This window comes from Homo sapiens, chromosome 10 (assembly GCF_000001405.40).
Source record: "Homo sapiens chromosome 10, GRCh38.p14 Primary Assembly".
NCBI lineage: Eukaryota > Metazoa > Chordata > Mammalia > Primates > Hominidae > Homo > Homo sapiens.
This window is the reverse complement of record NC_000010.11, coordinates 17,958,297-17,984,437: the sequence shown is the minus strand read 5'-3', so window position 1 is coordinate 17,984,437 and position 26,141 is coordinate 17,958,297. Positions and strand designations below refer to the sequence as shown.

Below are 26,141 nucleotides of genomic sequence, written 5' to 3'. Positions count from 1 at the left end.
AGAAAGCACAATGACAAATCAGGGTACAACATTTCCCAGGCAAAAGGCAAAGTTGAAACTTCTTTAGTTATTTTGCTACACCCCAACTCTGTGGGCTTCTACCCATGCAGACAATGAATGTTTCATAACTTCAGAGGTTAGCAAATCTTTTTAGATTCTCTATGAGTCATATTTCACTTGCTTTCATGTAGGAACGACAGCCTCAAAACCATAAAATATCTGACCTGTGGTCACAGGACTCTGCTAATTTACTGCAGGTCCCTGCATAAGTGCCATGAAGTCTTGATTGGCATCAGGCAACTTGCAGACAGGTTCTAAAGTTTCCCATTATTACAACAGAGCTTGACCTAGCCACTAAATTCTTAGCCACTTCTGAGCAGCTACTCTGAATAGGTCTGAAACTTAATTTGTACATGGCCATAATACTCTTTCCTGGAAACTTAATCGAAGATGGTGCTTAGCGGTTGAGTTTCAGCATACTGAATGGTATTTTCTTAATAATGTCTCCCCGAGTCTTCCTCCCTTCAATATAATATCATATATTTCTATAATTTCCAAAGAACTTTTGAAATTAAAGCTTTTCCCTATTCACATAATGCAACATTTTCGATTGAGGACAGTGATGTTTTTCTAGGTTTTGTTTTGTTTTGTTTTTTGAGATGGAGTCTCTCCCTGTCGCCCAGGCTGGAGTGCAATGGTGCAATCTTGGCTCACTGCAACCTCCACCTCCCGGGTTCAAATGATTCTCCTGCCTCAGCCTCCCGAGTAGCTGGGATTATAGGCACCCGCCAGCATACTCAGCTAATTTTTGTATTTTTAGTAGAGACGGGGTTTTACCATGTTGGCCAGGCTGGTCTCGAACTCCTGACCTCGTGAGCTGCCCACCTTGGCCTCCCAAAGTGCTGGGATTACAGGCATAAGCCACTGTGCCCGGCCTAGGTTCTTGTTTTTAAGACAGGGTCTCTCTCTGTCACCCAACTGGAGTGCAATGGCATTGTCATAGCTCACTACAGCCTTGAACTGCTGGGCTCCAATGATCCTCCCACCTCAGCCCCCCAAGTATCTGAGACCACAGGTACGTGCCACCATGCCTGGCTAATTTTCGTTTTTGTAGAGATGGGGTCTCCCTATGTTGCTCAGGCTAGTCTCAAACTCTCGGGCTCAAGTAATCCTCCTGCCTTGCCCTCCCAAAGTACTAGGACTACAGGTGTGAGACACTGCACCTGGCCTTTCTAGAGTCTTTTTTTTTTTTTTTTTTTTTTTTTTTTTGAGATGGAGTCTCGCTTTGTCGCCCAGGCTGGAGTGCAGTGGTGCTGACCTCGGCTCACTGCAAGCTCCGTCTCCCAAGTAGCTGGGACTACAGCCGCCCACCAGCATGCCCGGCTATTTTTTTTTTTAATTTTTAATTTTTAGTAGAGACGGGGTTTCACTGCGTTAGCCAGGATGGTCTTGATCTCCTGACCTCGTGATCCACCCGCCTCGGCCTCCCGAAGTGCTGGGATTACAGACGTGAGCCACCGCGCCTGGCCCCTTTCTAGATTCTTTAGTGAGTGTGACATGTTGGGAGGTTTCCCAGGAAGACTATTCCCCAGAAGTGTCTAGAAGTTCATTCGAGAGGAGACACAATTTTTTTCCGAGGCCTTAATTTCAAAACCCTTTTCCGAGCGGCCTGTACATTCCGGCCCCAAGCCAGGTGGTAGGAATGTAAACTGCCCAGGGATGCTCCTAGGTGCCACAGTGCTGTCTTCATCCATTTTCTGAGCCTCACTGAATGACCACCAAGTGCTGAGTTATTTGGCTGCTCACTATTAATGAAGCTCTTTTTCTCTTAGTGAATGTAGAATCTTAGATATTTAGGCCTGGCGTGTTTTTGTTCACATAACATTTTCAATTAGGCCACTTGATGTTACAGAATCCACTGTGAGTTAGAGGTGGGTGGCTGAACAACTCAGCTATGATTGCTATTGCAGGCTCTCTCAAAGAGAAAGAAACACAGCTCTGAGAAAATAATACATCTAAGGCTCTCAGATCAATGGTAAGCTAATTGTCATATTTTTTACTAGATAACATGGATGTTCTCAACCATTTGTTTTGTCTTTTAAATATACAGAGCTTTAAATTTACTGAAGATATTTTTGTCCACATTATCCCATTTGAACCTTACAGTTCAAGGGCTTCACAGTGAAGCCCTTGGAGAGATCTCATCTATTGCAATGACTCAGTGGGATACAGGTAACTGTAAATATTGATCCCTTCCCTTCCTGGGGCTGACAGCTACATCTGGGAGGCTGGTAGCTCCCAGCATGGGTCACCTTCATCCCACAGCAGCCCAGTGAGCTTTGGTTTACTGTAATGTGTTTTCATTTTTTATACATGCCATGATGTGAGAAAGGCAGCCCTATAGGATATCACTGCTTTCCACTGGGCTGGAAAAGAAACAGTCTTGGGGAGAAATTGCTAAAGATCACAAAGTCTCTGAGGAAAAAAAGCATGACTCAGCTCTGCATTCCACATTCCAATGCTATTGCCTTCTCTTTTACCATGTCACCTCTCAGCTATGGCCTTTTATGTTGATCCATGATTGAGTCAACTATAGAAGACATAATTAATTCATATAAACCATATACAAATATAAAATATTCATTGAAGAGTAGTATGTATCGTGGTTAGAAACAAGGACTCCAGGGCCAGCTTGCCTGGGTTTGAATGGCAACTCCATCACTTCCCAGCTGTGTGTCCTTGGGAAAGTCACTTAATCTCTCTGTGCCTCAGTTTCCTCATCTGTAAAATGGGAATAATAATATCTACCTTGTAGCATTGTTAGGAGGATTAAATGAGCTGATAAATGTAAAATGTTTACAACAGAGCCTGGTATATAGTAAGTATCCTGCATTTACTATTATTATTGCATACATTGTGCACATCAGCTTTCTGAAGGAAGATCCAGAACTTACTCTCCAGAGTGGTAGGTGGCAGCTTTGCTTGTTGGTCCTTGGGTAAGTGGCAGGAGCAGCTGAGGAGCTGCTGGATGATCCCTGGACTCATTTGCTTAAAGTCCTCCTTAGAAATGAGTGAGAGGCCCTTCTGTAGAAATATCTCCACCAGCTGCCTAGCAGAGAAGCAGGTCTGTGTGAGGAAAACATAACATTGTTACTAATCTCAGCATATTTAAACTAGATTCTCCACCAGTTGTCATCCTTGAGGAGTGAATTCTAGATGGAATAGCGAGAACACACACATGAAGCCGGTACGACACGTGTTTCCCTGCAAACTTTCAGCTGTACGTAATTCCTAAGGATGTCTTAAATCTCTGACCAAAGCCTGCAATACCTCATTTTCATTCTGAGCCTTATTTAGTATGAGTTTTGCACAGTTTTTCTTTCCTAGAAAGACACATTGTGTTTTACAATGTGTTGAGTGGTGTTCTAACCAGCAGCCTTAGGATGTCCTGATGTTTTTGTTCTTTTTCAATGAGGATAGCTTTGTGTTAAAAAAGACTTCATACAATAAACAGAAGTCCTATGGTAATGAGGTCACTGTCTTTCATACTGTTTGATTTAGTCAGCCTGTGTAGGCAACGTGTACTTTTAAAAGTCCTAAAAGTAAAGGTAAAATTTTTGAAAGTAAAGCTATGTCAACTAGCTGCTGTGTAAATACCAAATGATGTAGCTACCTCTCTCAATTGGCATAACCCTTCTCCACAGAGACACACACACAGTTGAAAACATCATTATTTCTTACTGACTTTACTGATTTTTACCTAAATCTTTACAATTTGTTTTCATACTGTATAGGCATATTTATGAGAGAGAAGAATAAGGAAAGAACAAATGCCACAGTCTCTAAAAAGGGCCAAAAGACATTTGTCCATCTCAGAATAAAGGTTGACGTTGTGTACTTCAAAAATTACAATTTAAAAGTTTTAGTAGGTGAGTGAGAATGACGGGTAGTTTCACTCTCACAAATGGATGTTTTCTATTGAAATAAGACCCCAATGCAATGTCTTTGTGATCTTTAGTTGCGATCAGTAAGGTATTGTTTTAAAAATCAGTGGTTTGCAAAGCTGATTTGGTTTGCCACACTGTATAGAGATTTTTTTTAATGAAGGCACTTTGTTAATCTGTAAATAATGATGACATAGTTGCTGTTTGTCTTTTTCCCCCACATAAAAATCTTTAGAGATGATTTCATGGATACAAAGTTTTATCTTGATCAGGAAATATTTGGGTGCATGGAACAGAACCAACTGAAATCAGAAAACCAAGAGGAAATTGTATTAGAAAGGCACAGATGGTCTCAAAGAACCCAGGGATTGAATGAATGCCCACACTTCATAAGGAATGAGAACTTGAAGCTGGGAAATCAAAGATGCATGATCTTTGCCCACAACCTTCTTCCCACCCGTGCCCTCCTCTCCCTCCCTGAGCCAAGTATTTTCTTTTTTCTTTTTCCCTCTGCATATATCTACTTCCTTTCACAGTTTGGCCTTCTCTCGTAAACTCACAGCCATATAAGCCCCAACTCTAAAGTGACTTTTCACTCCAAGAACCCAAGAATGCTGCATCTATAAGTCCTGAGAGAGATCTGATTGATTCAGCAAAGCCACAGATGGTGCCTCTTGGGTCAGGCATCCATTTAGTTCAATCAGTTTTGCCCAAGTAGTAGGAGATGGAATAAAGCTGTTCAAACATGGGTGCCAACCTCACTCCTGTGGGTGAGGAAGGCATTTCTCAGTAAGGGATTGGGCAAGAACTCCAGAAATTTTCTGCTACAGAAAGCATCCACAGAAAGCTAAACTTGTGTTTTTTTTTCCCTTTATCAAAATAATGTATGCCAAAGACAAGATTCTCTTTTGCACCACTTGTTATTGACAGAATGTAATTATTTCATCATCAACAATATTGACAAAAATAAAGAGACACTGGCAACAAACTTTTGATGATAGTTTCATAATACAATTCCTATCAGAAAATGCCTGACTGGTAAATAAAGGAATGGAGAGAGAAACAAGAAGAGAATACCATGCATCTTTCTCCAGTTTGTTGTCAAGAAGTCGAATAGTTTCTAGTTTTACAATACCTTCTCAGAGAGTAAGGTTATTCTATTACAAACTTCTGCGCCCTTGGTCTTCGCTTGCTGCTCTTGTGCCATTTAGGTCATTAAGTAAATTTCTTCTGAAATCACTAACATAAATGTCCTTACTGGGGACTCATTATATTCTATAAAATTTTGAACACAACATATTTTTTATAAAGAAAATGAAAATTTAGGTTATGCAGCCAACAATCTTTAAAACATCTTTATTCCTTCCTATGTAATTTTGAAATATGTTTGTACTTGTGTTGATGTTATCAGATTTCTACAGAAGCTTTACAAACATATTCAAAAGCAGTGGTTTCTAATCTTTAGTTTTGAGAATTACTTGCAGGGCTTCTTAAAAGACAGAGTTCTGGGCTCTACACTTGGGGTTTATGATTCAGTAGATTCTGGGTTGGGGTCTGAGGATGTACATTTCCAACAAGTTCCCAGGTGGTACTGCTGCTGCCCACAGCCCTTGGAAAGGCCCAGGCACAACCCTTGGAAAATGATCAACCTAATAATATAGGCAGAGTCCTCAAATCTGGTGTCCCACGTTAGGATACCATCAAGAATCACAAAGAAAGTCACACGTTGGAACAGAGAAGAATTATTGGAGAAGAGGTTGTTGTGTGTGTTTTGCACAGAAAATGATTATTGGCATTCTTAGAAGATGCATGCCTTAAGTAACCCCTAAATGTTAAGAAATGAATTATTCTTTATTCAAATAAGGTCTCCATGAAGAGACCGTATTTGTTCTCTTCCTGAGAGTTGGCCCTAATTAAGGAAACTTCACAAACATGGATTAATATGGAGATCAACTCTTGTCACCTGCAGTTGAATACAATAAACATGAGTCTGAAAGAGTCAACTTCAACAGATTCCTATTATACATGGCAGAGGTAACAGAAAATAACTTTTAAGATACATAATAGCAAAAATATGTGCCTATTTTTGTTCAACATTGTATCTCTCATGCCCAGGATGATTAGCGGTGTGCATAAAATGCTCAATATGTTTTCTGAATTATTAATTCACTCAATCTGAACCCAAGGGAGGAAAAAGCAATATATTTCATTCCCCTATATACCTTGGCTTTGTTTTTATGTCTACAGAGATACACTTGTAGAAAAAGAAAACCGTAACTACGTGGTGGAACTAGAATATTTTTACTTTTCAAGATAATACACAATACTCTTTAAGTTTTCTACAACTCTAATAAAACTTTCACAGCTGGGCTTCCTTTGACAGTAGCAAATGCTTGAATAAGAGAAACAATGGCAATACCTGATCCCAGGAAACTGGACCATCCTCAGACTCTTTTTCCATGGATGAAGAGAAATTAGAATAGTCCTGATCATGGGTTATTATGTTGTTTTGTTTCCTTTGAAATTGATGGATTTTCTCATTTTTGATACAAGTACTTCTGGTCCAGAGAGTGTTGAGGAGTTGGTCTAGTTCTAGAAATTTCATATAAAATCTGGTGTCACATAGAATAGATAAGTTCCGAATAGTCACAATTTCACATAGCTACAGCATAGATATTCCCTTACAAAGAATTCTTATCATTTTTTAAGCCCTAGAGATGACAGAATGGACATTTCCACCCACGAAAATGCCTTCCATTGCGTCAAGGATTTTCTTTTTCTATAAAAATGTAAATTAAAGATGAAACTGGCCTAATCCTTAGGAAATTATTCCCTGGAGGCATTATACATCCATCATAGATTAATTATTACTTTAGTTAAGTCAATCAAATTGTTTTCCTTTTAAGTGTATATGCAAAAGAAAGAAAAGCCGTGAAAGGGAGATAAGATTCTAGAAACAAACTAGATCTTGTTTTCTAATGCAACTATGGTATGGCAGTCAATTTAAAGATCACAGATTAGTTTCCCTCAGTATAGCTCTAGGCTTTTAAAAAATAATGTGTACAAAGAAGAAATAAACATAACAGTAAATTTATATGGATTTATACATCTTCTTACTTATGATTAAAACAGAATTTTCCTAAGTGTTATCAACAGTGGTAGAAAAAAAAAAAGCAGTCAATAAATACATCTCAGTATTTCCAGATGTTGGATTCAGCAAATACAGACTTTAAAGGAAATATTATGTTTAAGGAACTAAAAGAAATTATATTTAAAGAATTAAAGGAAAGTTTGACAATAAAAAATCAATAGCAATTTTTAATAAGGAAATCTAAATTATATAAATGTCCAAATGAAAATTCTGGAGTTTAAGAATATCGAGACAATAAGTGAAACAAAAAGTTCACTACAGGAACTCAACAGCATATTTGAGAGGGCAGAAGAAAAAAATCACTGAACATGAGTATAGATTAACAGAAATAATTCATTCTAAAGAACAGAAAGAAAAAAGAAAAAGAACAAGTGTTCACAGACTTGTAACAAGAGCAAGTATACCAATGTATATATATTAGCAGTCAGAGAAAGGAGAAAGAGAAAGGATTAGAAAAAATACTAGAGGAAATAATGGCCAAAACTTTCAAAATCTGATGTAAAAGCCTGAACATACGTGTTCAAGAAGCATATCAAACATCAAGTAAGATAAATACAAAAAGATTCACACCCAGACACATTACAGTCAAACTGCTGAAAGTCAAAGATAAAATCTTGAGGACCAGCGTGGTGGCTCACACCTGTGATTCCAGCTCTTTGGGAGGCCAAGGCGGGTGGATCACCTGAGGTCAGGAGTTCAAGACCAGCCTGGCCAACATGGTGAAACCACTTCTCTACAAAAAAATATATATATAAAAATTAGCCAGGCGTGGTGGCAGGCACCTGTAATCCAAGCTACTCAGGAAGCTGAGATGGGAGAATCGCTTGAATCCAGAGGGTGGAGGTTGCAGTGAGCTGAGATGGCGCCACTGCACTTCCAACCTGGGCAACAGAGTGAGAATCTGTACCAACAAAAACAAAAAACAACAACTACAACAGAAGATAAAATCTTGAAAGCAGCAAAAGAAAATGACTCATCACCTACCTGGGAGCATCACTACAATTAATGGCTGATTTCTTATCTAAATAATGGGGGACAGAAGGGTAGTGAAATGATATATTCAAAGAGCTACAGAAAAAAACTGGAGGAGGCAGAGTAAGATGGCAGAATAGAAGCCTCCACCAATCATCTCCCCACAAGGACACCAATTTAACAACTATCTACACAAGAAAAGCACCTTCATACAAACTAAAATTCAGGTGAGCCCTCGTTATACCTGGTTTTAACTTCATATTACTGAAATAGGCACTGAAGAGGCAGAAAAAACAGTCTTGAATCTCTGATGTCACCCCTCTCCCACCTCCCCAGTAGCAGCAGTGTGGTGCAGAGAGCATCTCTGGGTGCTGACAGTAGGGGGGCATGGCAATTTTGAGGCATTGAACTCAATGCTGTCCTGTTAAAGCAGAAAGGAAAACAGGACCAAACTCAGCTGACATCTGCCCATGGAGGAAGCATTTAAACCAGCCCTAGCCAGAGGGGAACCCCTGATCCTAGCAGTTAGAACCTGACTTCCCCCACAAGCCTTGCCACCTCAGGCTAAAGTGCTCTGGGGTGCTAATAAACTTGAAAGGCAGTCTAGGCCACAAGGACGGCGACTTTTACATGAGTCCTAGTGCTGTACTGGACCCAGAGACACTGGACTTCGACAGTGGGGCACATGACCTACTGAGACACCAGCCAGAACAATGCTGGTATTACCCCTTCCCTAACCCCAGGCTGCACAGCTCATTACCCAAAAGATACCCCTTACTTCCACTTAAGGAATGGAGAGGAAAGAGTGGGGAGGACTCTGCATTGCATCTTGGATACCAGCTCAGCCACAGCAGGATGGGGCAGTGGTTAGAGTTGCAAGGTCCTGTTTCCAGGTCCTAGCTCTCAGACAACATTTCTAGACATGCCCTGGGCCAGAAAGGAACCTGCTGCCTTGAAGGGAAGGACCCAGTCCGGGCAGGACTTGTCACCTGCTAACTGAAGAGCTCTTGGACCCTAAACAACCAGCAGTGATACCCAAGTACTATGTCAAGGTCCTTGGGTGAGGCTCTGAGATTTGCTGGCTTCAGGTATCACCTTAGCCACAGTGTGTTAGAGCACCAAGCAGACTCTTGGGGTGGGGGGCCTGAGATTCCAGGACTTGGCCCTTGGATGGGATTTCTGGACCTGTCCTGGGCCTAGGGGAGCCCACTGACCTGAAGGGTGAGTCCTAGGGTAGGCAGCATTCACCAGAAGTTGATTCAAGAGCCCTTGGGCCTTAAGGGAACATTGGCAGTAGTGTGGCAGCTCTCCCCATGGACCTGTGGTGGTGCTGGCCACAGAGTAAGGCTCCTCTGCCTTTGTAAAGGGAAGGGAAGAGTGAGAAGGACTACGTCTTGTGATTCGAGTGCCAATTCAGCTGCAATACGGTAGAACACCAGGTAGACTTCTAAGGTTTTGACTCTAGTTCCTGGCTCCTGTATGGCACCTCTGGACCTGCCTGGGAACTGGGGTAACTTGTCACCCTGAAGAGTAGAACACAAGCCTGGCTGGCTTCACCACCTGCTAATTGTAGAGTCCCAAGGCCTTGAGCAAACATAGCCGGGGAGTGGTTACAGTGGGCCTCGGGTGAGACCCAGTGCTGTGCTGGCTTCAGGTCTAACCCAGTGTGGTCATAGTGGTGGTGGCCACAGTGGTGCTTGTGTCAGTACACTGTCAGTTTCAGGTGACTCAGAACAGAGAGTGAGAGACTCCATTTGTTTAGGAGAAAGGGAAGAGAACAAGAGTCTCTGCCTGGTAATCCAAAGAATTCTCCAGGATCTTGTCCAGGACCAGATATCTGTATAAGTCTGCAAGAACTACGGTGTTAACAGGGTTTGGGGTGAAGATATAGCAGATCTGTATCCTAAAGCAGATACAGCATAGATCATACACCTAAGTCCTTTGTACTATCTGGAAAGCCTTCCCAAGAACAGTGAGTACAAACAAGCCCAGACAGTGATGACTACAATAAATACTTAACTCTTCAATGCCCAGACACAAACGAATATCTACAAGTATCAAGATATTCCAGGAAAAAAATGACCTCGCCGAATGAATTAAATAAGGCACCAGGCAACAATTCTGGAGAAACAGAGATATGTGACTTTTCAGATATAGAATTCAAAATGGCTGTTTTGAGGAAACTCAGTGAAATTTAAGATAACACAGAGAAGGAATTCAGAACTCAGATAAATTTAACAAAGATTAAAATTATTAAAAAGAACCCAATAATTAAAAATAAAATATTTTAAAATATTAAATAATTTAAAAATAATTTAAAAAATTCTGGAGCTAAAAAATGCAACTGGCATACTGAAGAATTCATCAGAGTCTTAATAGCAGAACTGATCAAGTGGAAGAAAAAATTAGTAAGCTTGCAAGACAGGGTCTATTTGAAAATACACAGAGGAGACAAAAGAATTAAAAAAAAAAATAAAGCACGACTACTGAATCTAGCAAATCTGAGTTATTGGCCTCAAAGAGGAGATGGGGAGAGAGATAGGGGTAGAAAGTTTATTCAAAAGGATAATAACAGAGAACTTCCCAACCCTAAAGAAAGCCATCAATATCCAAGTACAAGAAGGTTATAGAACACCAAGCAGATTTGACCCAAAGACGACTACCTCAAGGCATTTAATAAGCAAACTACCAAAGATCAAAGATAAAGAAAGGATCCTAAAAGCAGGAGGAGAAAAGGAACAAATATACAATGGAACTCCAACATGTCTGACAGCAGACTTTTCAGTGGAAAACTTACAGGCCACGAGAGAGTGGCATAACATATTTAAAGTGCTAAAGGAAGAAAACTGTTACCCTAGAATAGTATATCCTGTGAAAATATCCTTCAAACATGAAGGAGAAATAAAGATTTTCCTAGACAAGCAAAAGCTGAGGGATTTTATTAATTCTAGACCAGTCCTATAAGAAATGCTAAAGGGACTACTTCAATCAGAAAGAAATAGATGTTAGTAAATAATAATAATCACCTGAAGGTAAAAAACTCACTAGTAATTACACAGAAAAACACAGAATTCTATAACACTGTAACTGTTGTGTAAACTACTCCCATCCTAAGTAGGAAGACTAAATAATAAACTAATGAAATACAATAACTACAACAACTCTTCAAGACATAGACAGCACAATGTGATATAAATAGAAACAACAAAAAGTTTAAAAGTTGGGGGACACAATTAAGGCACAAAGTTTTTATTAATGTTCTTTTTGCTTGGTTTTTGTTTATACAAACAGTGCTAAGTTTCTGTCAGTTTAAAATAATGGATTATAAGATAGTATTTGCAAATCTCATGATAACCTCAAAACAGAAAACATACAATGGATACACTAAAAATAAAAGCAAGAAACTAAATCATAACACCAGAGAAAATCACCTTCACTAAAGGAAGACAGAAAGGAAAGAAAATGACCATAAAACAACCAGAAAACAAATAACAAAATGGCAGGAGCGAGTCCTCACTTATCAATAATAATATTGAATGGAAATGAACTAAACTCTCCAATCAAAAGACACAGACTAGCAGAATAGATAAAAAAAAAATAAGACCATTGATCTATTGCCTATAAGAAACACACTTCACCTATAAATACACACATAGACTAAAAATAAAGGGACAGAAAAAGATACTCCATGCCAATGGAAACCAAAAATAAAAGCAGGAGTCACTATCCTTATATCAGACACAATAGATTTCAAGACAAAGACTGTAAGAAGGGACAAAGGTCACTATATAATGATAAAAGTGTCAATCCAGCAAGAGGACTTAATAATTTTAAATATATATGCACTCAACACTGGAGCACCCAGATACATAAAGCAAATATTGTTAGAGCTACAGAGAGACATAAGCCACAGTACAATAACAGCTGGAGACTTCAACACCCCACTGTCAGCATTAGAGAGATCTTCCAGACAGAAAATCAACAAAGTAACATTAAACTTCATCTGCACTATACAACCAAATGGAGCTAATATATATTTACAGAACATTTCATCCAACAGCTGCAGAATAAACATTCTTTTCTTCAGCACATGGGTGATTCTCAAGGACAGACCATACGTTAGGTCACAAAACTAGTCTCAACATATTTTTTAAAAAATTGAAATAACATCAAGCATCTTCTCTGACCACAATGAAATAAAACTAGAAATCAATAACAAGAGGAATTTTTGAAAACTATGCAAATATATGGAAATTAAACAATAGCTCCTGAATGACCAATGGATCAATGAATAAATTAACAAGGAAATAGAAAAACGTCTTGAAACAAATGATAATGGAAACACAACATACCAAATCCTATGAGAAACAACAAAAGTGGTGCTAAGAGGAAAGTTTATAGCTATAAGTGCCTACATCGAAAAAGAGGAGATTTCAAATTAACAATCTAACAATGCATCTTAAAGAACTAGAGCAGCAAGAGCAAACCAAACCTAAAATGAGTAGAAGCAAAGAAATAATAAAGATTAGAGCAGAAGTAAATGAATTTGAAGGAAGAAAACAATACAAAAGATCAATGAAACAAAAAGTTGGTTTTGTGAAAAGTTAAAGAACATTGACAAGCCTTTAAGCAGACTAAGAAAAAAAGAAAAAAGATCCAAATAAATAAAATCAGAAATGAAAAAAGAGACATTACAACTGATACTGCAGAAATTCAAAAGATCATTAATGGCTACTATGAGTAACCATACGCCAATAAATTTGAAAAATCTAGAAGAAATGGACAAATTCCTAGACACATACAACCTACCATGATTAAACCAGGAAGAAATCCAAAAACTGAACAGTCCAATAACGAGTGATGAGATTAAAGCCATAATAAAAATCCTCCCTGTAAAGAAAAGCCCAGGACACAGTGGCTTCACTGCTGAATTCTACCAAACATTTAAGAAGCACTAATACCAATTCTATTCAAACTATTCCAAAAAATAGAGGAGGAGGGAGTACTTCCGAACTCATTCCATGAGGCCAATATTGCCCTAATACCCAAACCAAAGACACATCAGGAAAGGAAGGGGAGGGGAGGGGAGGGGAGGGGAGGGGAGGGGAGGGGCAGGCCAATATCTCTGATGAACAGTGATGCAAAAATCCTCAACAAAATACTAGCAATTGAATTCAACAATCCATTAAAAAGATCATTCATAATGACTAAGTGGGATTTATGCCCTAGCTAGGATGCAAGGTTGGTTCAACATATGCAAATCAGTCGATGTAATACATCACATCAACCAAATAAACAACAAAAATCATATGATCATTTCAATTGATACTGAAAAAGCATTTGATGAAATTCAACATCCTTTCATGATAAAAACCCTAAAAAATGGGGTATAGAAGGAACATATCTCAACATAATAAAAGCTATATATATTAGACTCAGAGCTAGTATCATAATGAATGAGAACAAACTGAAAGCCCTTTCTCTCAGATCTGGAACATGACAAGGATGCCCATTGTCACCACTGTTATTAAACATAGTACTGGACATCCTAGCTACAGCAATCAGACAAGAGATAGAAATAAAGGGCATCCAAATTGGAATGGAAGAAGTCAAATTATCCTTGTTTACAGATGACACAATTTATGTTTCACCTACACACACACACACACACACACACACACACACACACACACACAAACTATTAGAACTGATAAGAAAATCCAATAAAGTTGCAGAATACAACATCAACATACAAAAATCGGTAGCATTTCTATATGCCAACAGTGAACAATCTGAAAAAGAAATAAAAATGTAATCCCATTTACAATAGCCACAAATAAAATTAAATGCCTAGGAATTAACCAAAGAAATGAAAGATTTCTACAATGAAAATGACAAAACACTGATGAAAGAAACTGAAGAAGACACCAAGAAAATGGAAAGCATTCCATATTCATGGATTGGAAAAATAAATATTGTTAAAATGTCCATACTTTCCAAAGTAATCTACTGATTCATTGCAATCCCTATGACAATATCAATGATATTCTTCACAGAAATAGAAAAAACTACCCTAAAATTTATATGGAATCACAAAAGATCCAGAACAGTCAAAACTATCCTGAGCAAAAGAACCAAACTAGAGGAATCACGTTACCTGACTTCAAACTGTATTACAGAGCTACAGTCACCAAAACAGGAAGTACTGGCATAAAAACAGACACAGAGACCAATGGAACACAATAAAGAACCCAGCAACAAATACACACACCTAAAGTGAACTCATTTTAGACACAGGTCCCAAGAACATACACTGGGGAAAAGACAGTCTCTTCAATAAATGGTGCTGGGAAAACTGAACATCCCCATGCAGAAGAATGAAACCAGAACCCATCTCTCATCATATACAAAAATCAAATCAAATCAAAATGGATTAAAGACTTAAATCTAAGATTTCAGACTATGAAATACTACAAGAAAACGTTGGGGAAAATCTTGAGGACATTGGTCTGGTCGAAAATTTCCTGAGTAATACTCCACAGGCGTAGGCAATCAAACTAAAAGTGGACAAGTGGGATCACATCAAGTTACAAAGCTGCACAGCAAAAGAAACAACAAAGTGAAGTGACAACCCACAGAATGGGAGAAAATATTTGCGAGCTACTCATCTCACCAGGAATTAATAACCAGAATATACAAGGAGCTCAAACAACTCTAGAGGAAAAAATCTAATAATTTGATCCAAAAATGGGCAAAAGATCTGAATAGACATGTCTCAAAATAAGACATACAAATGGCAAACAGGAATATGAAAAGGTGCTCAATGTCACTGATCATCAGAGAAATGCAAATCAAAACTACAATGAAATATAACCTCACCCCTGTTAAAACGGGTTATAGCCAAAAGACAGGCAATAAAAAGTACTGGCAAGGATATGGAGAAAAGGGAACACTGGTGCACTGTTGGTGGGAATGTAAGTTAGTATGACCCCTATGGAGAACGATCGGGAGGTTTCTCAAAAAAACTAAAAATTGAGCTACCATATGACCAACAATCCCACCACTGGGTATATACCCAAAAGAACGAACTTAGTATATTGAAGAGATATCTGCACTCTCATTTTTGTCACAGCACTGTTCATGATACCTAAGATCTGGAAGCAACCTAAGTGTCTATCAATGGATGAATGGATAAAGAAAATGTGGTACATATACACAATGGAATACCATTCAGCCATAAAAAAGAATGAGATCAAGTCATTTGCAACAACATGGATGAAACTGGAAAACACTATGTTAAGTGAAATAAGCCAAGCACAGAAAGACAAACATTGCATATTCTCACTTATTTGTGGGATCTAAAAATCAAAACAATCAAACTCATGGACATAGAGAATAGAAGGATGGTTTCCAGAGGTTGGGAAATGTACTGAGGGAGGGGGATAGTTAATGGGTATAACAAAATTAATTAGAAAGAATAAGACCTATTATTTGATAGCACGACATGATAACTATAGTCAATAATAACTTAATTGTAAATATTAATATTAAAATAACTAAGAATATAATTGGACTGTTGGTAACACAAACAATAAATGCTTGAAGGGATGGATACCCCATTCTCTATGATGTCATTATTACACATTGCATGCCTGTAGCAAAACATTTTATGTACCCCATAAATACATACACCTACTATGTACCCACAAAAATTTGAAAAAAGAAAAAGAAAAAAGGATCAAGAATTTTATATCCAGCAAAATAATCCTTCAGATTGAAGGTTTAAAAAAGCCATTCTCAGATAAACAATGAATGAGAGAATTTATTGCTAGCAGACCTGCCTTATAAGAAATACAAAATGAAGTTCTTTAGGCTGAAAAGATATGACCAAATTTACCACTTGGGTAAAGTTCCCATTTTGATTAAGCTCACTTAAAGAAATGACCAGCACTGGAGATGTAAAAATGTGGGTTAATATGAAAGACTCTATAAATATATTTTTTCTCATTTGTTCTCTAAACTTAATGAGAAAATACTACGGGCTCCTCTTTCAAAGTCAGAAACATAATAAGGATGCAGATCATCCCCACTATTATTTAACGTTATATTGAGGTTATTAACCAACGCAATTAGATGAGAAAGTAAATAAAAGCATGAGAACTGGAAATAAATAGTCAAAACTATATGTATTTAGAGATAGTATTATATATCTGAAACCCCTAAAAATCATACAAAAATAATCATGAAGCAGGTTATAAAATTAACCTATAAAAATTAGAAACACACATGTATACATATGTGTGTATATACACACACACAAACAAAGATCAGCTAGAAGATAGATGAAAGAGGACCTCATTTAAGAAAGCCATAGTTTATACCTATGTTAAAGGCATAGGTATAAACATAACAACAAATGCCTACAATCTCTGTGAGGGAAATAAATAAATAAATATATATATATATATATATTTTTTTTTTTTTGAGGCGGAGTCTCGCTCTGTCGCCCAGGCTGGAGTACAGTGGCGGGAACTCAGCTCACTGCCAGCTCCGCCTCCTGGGTTCACACCATTCTCCTGCCTCAGCCTCCCGAGTAGCTGGGACTACAGGCGCCCGCCATCACGCCTGGCTTATTTTTTTTTGTATTTTTTAGTAGAGACTGGGTTTCACCGTGTTAGCCAGGATGGTCTTGATCTCCTGACCTCATGATCCACCCACCTTGGCCTCCCAAAGTGCTGGGATTACAGGCGTGAGCCACCGCGCCCGGCCTGGGAAATAAATATTTTTAAAAGCAAATTGTTCTGTTTTGAAGGATGCATGGCCACTGTTATTATTTTAAAAACTGTCAAAGTGTCAAGAATTTATTTTTACCTTCCCTTAAGAACCTCAATAAGATGAAGTAGTGACGAGGGGAAGTTTTTCTATTATAGGATTATTACGCTAGTAAGGAAGAAATGAGTGTTAGAAGATCACCATTTTATAAGCCCTAAATAATTAATCAATCTAGGCAACTATCATCAATAGCTTTTAACTTCTGAAAAAGAGATGACTAGGTGTTACATGCTTCCTAATGGAAGGTACTAACATAAAACAGCTAAGCAACCTTGTCAAGCCTCTACATATAACAGCCCCTACACAAGAAACACAGTACATAGAAATGCGTGATAGATGACTAGGACTGCAATCAGCAAACTCCATATGAAAACCAACCCCCTTTGTTTTTCAACAAAAAAAAACTTGCAACAAAATAGAAAAGATGGAAGAAGTGTGACACGTATAAAAGAAACTTGGACAAACCAACAATTTGCATTTTATGGACTTTATTTTGATCCTGATTCAATAAAAATAATTTTTTTAAATTATGAAAACATGAACACTAACTGAATTTTTTTTTTTTGAGATGGAATCTCGCTCTGTCTTGAAAGGTGGAGTGCAGTGGCGCAATCTCGACATACCGCAACCTCTGCCTCCTGGGTTCAAGCAATTCTCCTGCCTCAGCCTCCGGAGTAGCTGGGACTACAGGCACACGCCACCACGCCTGGCTAATTTTTTTTGTATTTTTAGTAGAGACGTAGGTTTCACTATGTTGGCCAGGCTGGTCTCGAACTCCTGACCTCAAGTGATCCACCCGCCTCAGCCTCCCAAAGTGCTGGGATTACAGGTGTGAGCCACCGCACCCAGCCTGAATTTTTTATGATATTAAGGAATCGTTATCAATTTTTTACTCGTGATAATGAGGTGCTTTAAAAAAATAAAATCCAACTGGGCACAGTAGCACACTCCTATAGTCCCAGCACTTTAGGAGGCCAAGGCAGGCGATCACTTGAGGCCAGGAATCAGAGACCAGCCTGGGCAACATAGTGAGACCCCTATCTCTACAAAAAATAAGAAAATTAGCTGGGCATGGTGACACACAGCTGTAGTTTCAGCTACTCAGGAGGCTGGAGTGGGAGGCTTGCTTGGGCTCAAGAGTTGGAGGTTACAGTGAATTACGGTCCCACCACTGCACTTGAGTCTGGGCAACAGAATGAGACCCTGTCTCTAAAAACAACAACAACAACAAAAATCCATCTCAGGGGCATTTTGGTGAGTATGTTAAGAATTAGTCATTTCATTTTTAATGTCTTCTCAAGTACAAAGAAATGTGCAAAACAAACATTCTAATTCCAGTTCTGACATCCTATTTCATCCTGGATCCCCAAAAAGCAGGTAAGGTAGTCAGGAATGCAGCAAGGATGGCTATTTCACATTACTTCTATTTGAAATTAAATGGCTTTCATGATTGCAAGGAAACTGCTGCCAAATGTCTTGCACAATTTAGAATACTATTCTTTCATTCTACACAGCAGTTTGTTAGGCCTGGCCCAGCATTATGTCCCAAATAAGAAACTATTCAGTTAGTATTTATGGCAGATCATAAAATCGCCTCCTCCCTTTACATCCACAATTCCAATCACTTAGAAATAGGCCAAGTCCATGTTTTTGCCTCATCACCGCATAGCTTTCATAGCACGCTTGCCTTGAAAGGCCACATAAGCTGTCTGACTTTATGACTCTATAAAAAATGGTATTTAAAACATACCTGAACGAATTCAGTCATCAAGAGCTTTGGCCTTTGTTTTTGGCATAGTTTATTTAGCAGGTGTGACTTGGAAGTTAAATTCGTGAAAACATCCTTACCTGATAGGCGGAGGGTATTCGTACGATTCAAGGAACTGAAAATATATTCTGTAAAGTAGTCTGGGGAAGGCAAGTTTCCTTGTCCCAGACAAACACCCTGGAGGGACAAAGTAATGATCATGGCTGCCAACTGAGGAAGCGTACTTTCATTAGCACCTTCACTGCTCACTATTCCAGATTTTTTCTGCAGCGTTTTGGTTTCCATACACTGAAATCAGATACAAAATAAAGAGAAAATTGTAACATCTGAAGTTATTTTGATTCTAACATCTCTGAAATTTCCCCCTAAAGGGATAAGGAATTGTTTTTCTAAAAGAAAATTGAATCATTTGAGGAATATGACTATCATCTTTCTCCTGTCTCAGATACAACTCTATTTGAAAATTATGTGTTTATCTACCATGGCACTGAATTTTCTAACCCTCATCTCACTGGTCCTTATTTATCCAGCTTTTCTCCCTATCCTTTTTTTTTTCTTTTTTTTAGACCGAGTTTAGCTCTTGCTGCCCAGGCTGGAGTAAAGTGGCACGATTTTGACTCACTGCAACCTCCACCTCCCGGGTTCAAGCGATTCTCCTGCCTCAGCCTCCTGAGTAGCTGGGATTACAGGTGCCTGCCACCACGCCTGGCTAATTTTTGTATTTTTAGTAGAGATGGGGTTTCACCATGTTGACCAGGCTGGTCTCGAACTCCTGACCTCAGGTGTTCCACCTGCCTTGGCCTCCCAAAGTGCCGGGATTACAGGCATAAGCCACCACACCCAGCCTGACTATCCTCTTAAAGATGTGTTTTCTCCAAGGGGAACTCCTGCTCTTATTGTTTAACATCCTTAAAACTGGTGGGTTGTTTCTCTCCCCGCTTTAAGTGCAACCTGCAGGAGAATGATTTTCAAGCTGACATTCCCTACCCTGACTTCACACAGGCTCTGCTGCCTTGCGTCATCACAGGGCCCCTCTACTTCTCATCTGCCTCTGGTCCCAAGCTCAGTGTGTACTCATTGCATGTCAAATCTGGTACACTGTCCATGTTCTTTGAACTCCCAGAGGACACAGGACCTTTTTCAAATATGTATATCAATTTTCCTCAATTAAATTATAAGCATGTGAAAAGCTCTAATTTTGCTTTATATCCCATTCATATTCCCATTCAGACATTTGAGTGCCTACAATGTGCCAGGCACTGTACTAAGCCCATTTCATATGAAGTGAAGGAGAAAATAAATTCATCAAAAGAGAGATCCAGGGAAGGTTATCGTGTCAAGGTTGCATTCTAATGGCTTAGGACAAGGAGAAAAAGTGCCCATTGAACTTATTTTTTTAAAGTCTGTAATTGAAGAGCTTGGCAGGAACATATTTACAACCATGGTCCAGAGCAGAGTGGAAGGCTAAGAATCAGTTACCAAAATTTTGATAAATTTGGAGAAGTAGCCAGAAGTTCCATGGGTGAAAAGAACAAGTTGAAATAACAGAGTTTGAACTTCACGGAAGCATGAGTGTTTCGTGCAGGCTGTGAAACAATAAGGGTCTCGAAACACCATAGAGGATAAAGGAGAATTCCAACCATTGTTCCCATCCCTGAAGTCCTTTGCGTGGGGTCAGGAACGCCCAGCCTCCATGCAGTAGGCAGGGCTACGGGAACACTAGGGAGAGATCCCTGTTCATTTACCATGGAATCAGCCAACAGTGGAGAGAATTCAAGAGGTGGGAACATTGAGAGATTGAGTCAGGAAGATAAAACACAGAGAGGTTTGGACAAAACAGATTGAAGGAAGGGAGAGATGTTGCTTTCTGAGCCATTAGGGAGCTTGCCTGGATTAGGGTATCAAGTTGATTCTCTTGGGGATCTTGTTGAGGCCCACTTGGAGCAGCCGTTAGTGACTTGATCTGTGGAAGCTGGGTCCCGTGCAGACCAAGACCTGGAAATTCAAGTAATGATGGGCCTGGTGAGCCAGAACCTCATCTGACCTCATGCCATCTAGTCAGAAAGAACAGCTGATGTGGTGAAGTGCCAAAAGCCTCCTGCAAAGTCTGGACTGATTGACTTCCTAGAGAATCCTAGTCCAGTTGAATGAGCTCATGGACCCTTCCCAGGAACTAGAGACAGTGGTGTCATCCAGGTGTTCACTGGCCTGAGGTGTAGCAAAGGGTTATGACTCAGCAGGTGTTGAACTCTTAATGACCGAAACTAGCTGGAAAAAGGAGTTCTAGATATAATACTGATTTATTCTGTTCTGGGGCTGCTTTATCTCAGAAATACTCAGAAGCCTGGGTATTTGCAGTATGTGTGGGATAACCAGAAACCTGGAAATACACACCACATCACCTTTTAAGTGCTTTTAAGTGCTGAGTTACCCATGAGGCAGTAATGGGTAGGATTAAAATGTTAGCAGCCAGTTTGAATCAAACTTGGATTACACAGATGTTGTACTGAAGAAATTATATGTAGGCACGCCTCCTGGTTTAGGTAGAAAACAGTTCTGTAAAGGAACCCCTTTTTCTTTTCTTTTTTTTTTCCTGCTTTTCTTCTTTTAGAGATAGGGTCTCTTTCTGTTGCCCAGGGTAGAGTATAGTGACACAGTCATAGTTCACTGTAACCTCAAACTCCTGGGCACAAGCCATCCTCCCACCTTAGCCTCCTGAGTAGCTGGGACTACCAGCTCATGCCACCACATCCAGCTAATTTTTTAAATTCTATTTTCGTAGAGACAAGGTCTTGCTATGTTGCCTAGGCTGATCCCAAACTCCTGGCCTCAAGTGATCCTCTTGCCTCAGCCTCCCAAAGTGTTGGGATTATAGGTATGAGCCACTGCACTGGGCCTAGGAATCCCTTTTCCTAAAATGAAAATAGGAATAAAAATATGGTCGCATTTTGAAATTAACAGGATTAGAGCTACAGATGTGAAAGTCACAAAGTCCTTAGCAAACAGCTTCTCCATTTGCTCTGCCAATAAAAGAAATTAAACATATTTACAGCAAATTAGAGGATATGTTTGCTGGTCGTTAAGCTTCAGAATGCCAGAATTGAGAGCAGGAACTAAATTTGTCTATACATGTTTATGAATAATTCAAAAAAAAATGATTTCCCCATACTCTTCAAAATGTAGTAATGGCTTCTCAATTAATTCTTTAAAAAAAAAAAAACCCGTGGCTTAAAGAAACCTTATGTTCAGAGAACTTTATCTGCTGAGATTTCCTGCTGCAAACCAGAAAGCAAAAACCTAACTGAAAGGCCAGTTTTGCTAGAATAGTAATGAAGGCAACAGAGACCAGGTGGGAGCTGGGAGAGAGGAGAGGCATTTGAATGGATCCTCTACACAGGCAGCACAATTCAAAACCACAAAGGGATATCATCTAGGGCTGGCAACCATGAGTAATGCTTTTTGCAAGCTGCTTCTTCAGTGAAATAACTAATGATAATTTATCACTTTCAAAATGTCTCTGCCTTCTCCTTTCGCAGCCAGAAGGCAAGGCAAATAGAAACATTGCTCTCCACCACTACAGCTCAGTCCTTGGAAATTGGTCAAAAAGCCTTGGGTCATACTGATTTGAGTGCTCAGAGGGACCCAGGAGAAGACAGCTGACCTGTCACCTGGACTGCCTGTCCACCCACCGAACTTCTGGCGAAAACTGCTCTTCCAATTAGTCATTACATTTCCTCTTTTGGACTCGGAATTTTAAATTATGTCATTTAACATCTCATAACCAAAACCCACAAATACTTACCTCCCTTAGAAGTCCTTGAATGTCTTAGAAATAAATAAGGAACAAACAATAAGGCTCTAGAACTGTATCTTAGCAGCAGAGCCAGTTAGCAATTTTGCCTTCTTACCTGGCTTTGAGAAGTGTCAAAGTACTGCCTGGTGAAAGCCAAGATATCTTCTGTCTCATTCTGTGAAAGGAAAGAGGAATCTTCATCCTGCCTGAGGCTCAGTAGGCTGTGTAGGTAAAATTTATACTCTTTATTACTCATGTTGAGCTTTGAAGAACAGATCTCTTCCTGATGAATAATGTAATAGAGAAGGAGAAGAGAAACTCTCTGGACCACTTCTTCTCTAAGCTGATCTTCAAAATTTCCTCCAGCTATTAGTAATAGTGCATCTGGTTCAAAGCACTGTGGAAGAAAACAATAACAACAACAAAAGAAACAAAGCTTAGCAAAATAGTTCCAGAACACTAATGACCACCAGGGTCTTCATTGCTTATCATTTTATAAACAGAAAGGAAAAGCAGGCAGGACCAATAGCCAGATTCAGAGAGTTGGACTCCCGCATAACAATGATGCCTGTCTAGGGAACCCCTTTTTTCCTCTAAGAATAATTCCTGTCTCCAACTAGATCGGCCACAAGTTGTTGATCTGTTGCCTTGTGTAAAACAGATTATTCTTTGGCTTTTAAAGTGATGCCCATTTGCATTTAGAATAAAATCCGAATTCCTTGCAATCTTCTTTTTGGTCTAGCTCCTGTCTACTCTACCCTCCTTCCTTCTCTTAGCCTTGGTCCAGCATCTCACTCAACTTCTGCCCCTGTGATTTTATGTCAATTTCACCAAATTCTTTCCCACAATCTTCCAGGTCTTCTTGTTCCCCTCATTTTTCAGGTTTCAGCCTAAATTGTCACCCTCTCACAACACCTTCCTAAAGATTCCCAACCTGCGTTCCCTAGTACAGAACTATCTGATAGAAATACAAGGAACACTGCAAATATGAGCCACATATGTCATTTGAAGTTCTTTAGCAGCAAGATTTTAAAAAGTAAAAACAGCTAAAAGTAACTTTTGTAATATTTTAACCTTATGTATCCAAGATTAAATTATTTTACCATGTAATCAAAATTTTTAAAAATTAAGATATTTTATATTTTTCTTCTTGAACAAAGTCTTTGAAAACTGGCGTGCATTTTATGCTTACCAGCACATCTCAATTTGGATGAGCCACGAATCAAGTGCCCAACAGTTACAAGCGGGCTAGTGGTTACTGTGCTGGACAGCACAATTCTGGAATACACCATTTAAAAATTTTTCTTCATAGCACTCGTATTGTAAAATTGCTTTGTTTACTTGTTTATTCTCTCTCTTCTCTATGAGAACCTGTGGTCCACTAACAGCAGATTTCGTCTGCTTTTTGCGTAGTTCTATCCTTAGCATATAGCACAATACCTGGCACTTAAGAGGTATAAAAATTTTACAAATGACTTCCATCTGCCCCTCTTCTATCCTATTTAGGGAAATTGCCAAAAATGATTTTGTTGAAGGGAATCAGAACATACTGCCCCAAAATATGCCACTGTAGCATATTGATTATTTTGAGCTGAAGGCAACTGACAAACAGCAGGTACAGGAAGGATTCTCTGCCTTTCGCCTTACTATCTAAAAGCAGGGCATAAGTTTCCCATTAGAAAGGTATCCTTGCTGTATCAGGAAGAGGAGAACATTCTTATCACTGGAGATGGGGAATTAATGCTGAGATGAACCTATACAAACGAACTTTACTAAAATAATCCTCCATTGGTATAATGTTAAAAAAAATTTTTGGTTTCCCATACATATTTCCTAGTCACTTTCCCACAATTTACCATCTCTAGTCCAAATTCACTTTTTTTCTTACTCTTGTCACATCCCCACAATTTATTACTCTTTGTTAAAATGGTATATAAACCCCTGGGTCTAACCACTTCTTTGGAGTTTTCACTTTTTCTATGATGCCCCTATTCCACATAAAAATATTAACATCAAATGTGTGTGCTATTTCTCCTGTTAATCCATCTTTTGTCCATTTCGTTCACAAGCCCCAGCTACAGAATTTAAGATGTTAGAGGAAAAGTCTTTCCTCCCCTCCACTGTGCTGCCTTATTTGTTTCACAAGCCACAAGCACATGCCCAGCTCCTGCAATCTGAGAAGTTTACTTGACATAAGGGATTCGGATAAATGTTGTGGGACAGTGAGAAAAAGACACAGGAATTGTGGACCAGAAGCTTTCTCAGCAAGAGGGAAGCTGCCTTTCTGCAGAGACAGTTGGGGAGCTCCTGAGAATTCTCACAGGATCTGAGAAGCAGCCCCACGACATAGCCACAGAGTGAAAGCATTGAGAAACGCCTGTCGTGACTCCCAGACAGATTTGTCCCATGGTGGGGATATTGTACTACAATATCTTTTAATCTAGTCTTCTTTGAAGTGGAAGTTTTGGGGGTTCTAATTCAAGGTCTGCTGTACAACCCACTGTGTAACATCTGCTATGTAATCATCTGAGTCAGGAAGAAACAAATGTCATCCATCTCCAAATCAAAGCATAATCACATTCTTCATAAAACCACACAGACTTTAATCTCTCCTGAACCCAACTGCAGGGGGTCAAGTACTCAAACAGAGGAGACCCAGGGGTTCCACTAAGACCAACTCTCAATGTGGATATTAGGCTCCACCTGTAAAACCTCAGCATCCCTTTTCTGTTTCCTAAGTAGCCCAGAAGAAAAGTCCACACCTTGGTAGCTGATGGCAAGGCTGACACCAAGACCCAAAAAGCGAATCCATTGAAATAAAAGTGTAATGAAAAACTTACACTTTTATAAAAAGTGTAAATAAAAAAATGGAAATAAAAGAGGTTCTTTGTACAAAATAGCCTCCTGAAACTAAACTATTGGTACTATTAGCTACAATTTGTTGGTAGCCATGTGCCCAGCAATGTGCAGAGTATCTTTTGCATTCAGTTATTCCTTGGTGCATAATCTAATTGGTTTTGAAAAATGCATAAAGTAATGAATTTTTTAATAAGAACCCTATATTATTATTTTAAGTGTGAAAAACAAAATGTCTCCAGCCTATGTAATAATCCACCAAATATTTCTAAATATTTGATTTTTATAATATAAAGCAACTAGAAGATCAATTACTCAATTATTTAATGCACAATGAATTAATGGATACATTTGTGTACGGTATGCAAGGATACTGCAAAGAACACATGAATTACACCTTTCTTCATGAGAAAAGTTTACTCATAGAATGTGTGAAAACCAAGACTAAAGCGGATAAGAAACTTGCCCAAAGCTACACAGCTGATGGTGGAGAGCACTGTTAGTCACAATTCCTGCTCTTCGAAGAACAGGACCCATTCTTTTATTCCTTCCTTTTGTGCCATGGAGAACACAGGCTGTGGACCCACTGATGTACTTGTTAGGCAACCACTTTGACCGGTAATTTTTCTCTCCCTCCTATTTGATGGGAGTAGAGGTCAGTTAGGTGGCTAAGAGATTGGTCCAAGTCTAACATCAATCAGAACAAGGACATGGTACAACGAGAGCGTTGAATGAGTTTATGTTATACTTTCAAGTGCTACTCAGGTTGTTTGATGGGGCTGGGTAGGTAGGAAGAAGAATGTCTATGATGCAAGGAGTAGGACG

General features: G+C 39.1%; 1 protein-coding gene across 4 annotated transcripts in view, besides 1 other annotated feature; it reads right to left on the bottom strand.

The window, feature by feature from the left end:
* SLC39A12 (solute carrier family 39 member 12) overlaps positions 1-26,141 on the bottom strand; it is a 91,368-nt gene that overhangs the window by 58,848 nt on the left and 6,379 nt on the right. For all 4 annotated transcript variants that reach the window (NM_001145195.2, NM_001282733.2, NM_152725.4 and 1 more), the window contains 4 exons: positions 22,576-22,857; positions 18,748-18,955; positions 6,364-6,536; positions 2,955-3,126 (listed from right to left, as the gene is read on the bottom strand). In NM_001145195.2, the coding sequence (NP_001138667.1) occupies positions 2,955-3,126; positions 6,364-6,536; positions 18,748-18,955; positions 22,576-22,857 (835 nt within the window). The remainder of the gene's footprint in view (positions 1-2,954; positions 3,127-6,363; positions 6,537-18,747; positions 18,956-22,575; positions 22,858-26,141) is intronic.
* Positions 2,081-3,280: an enhancer, noted in NCBI's record as "CDK7 strongly-dependent group 2 enhancer chr10:18270087-18271286 (GRCh37/hg19 assembly coordinates)". NCBI's record gives its function as "activates an origin of replication core promoter dependent on BRD2, BRD4, P300/CBP, MED14 and CDK7 cofactors, with strong dependence on CDK7, by STARR-seq in HCT116 cells {active_cell/tissue: HCT116}" and the evidence as "EXISTENCE:reporter gene assay evidence [ECO:0000049][PMID:35650434]".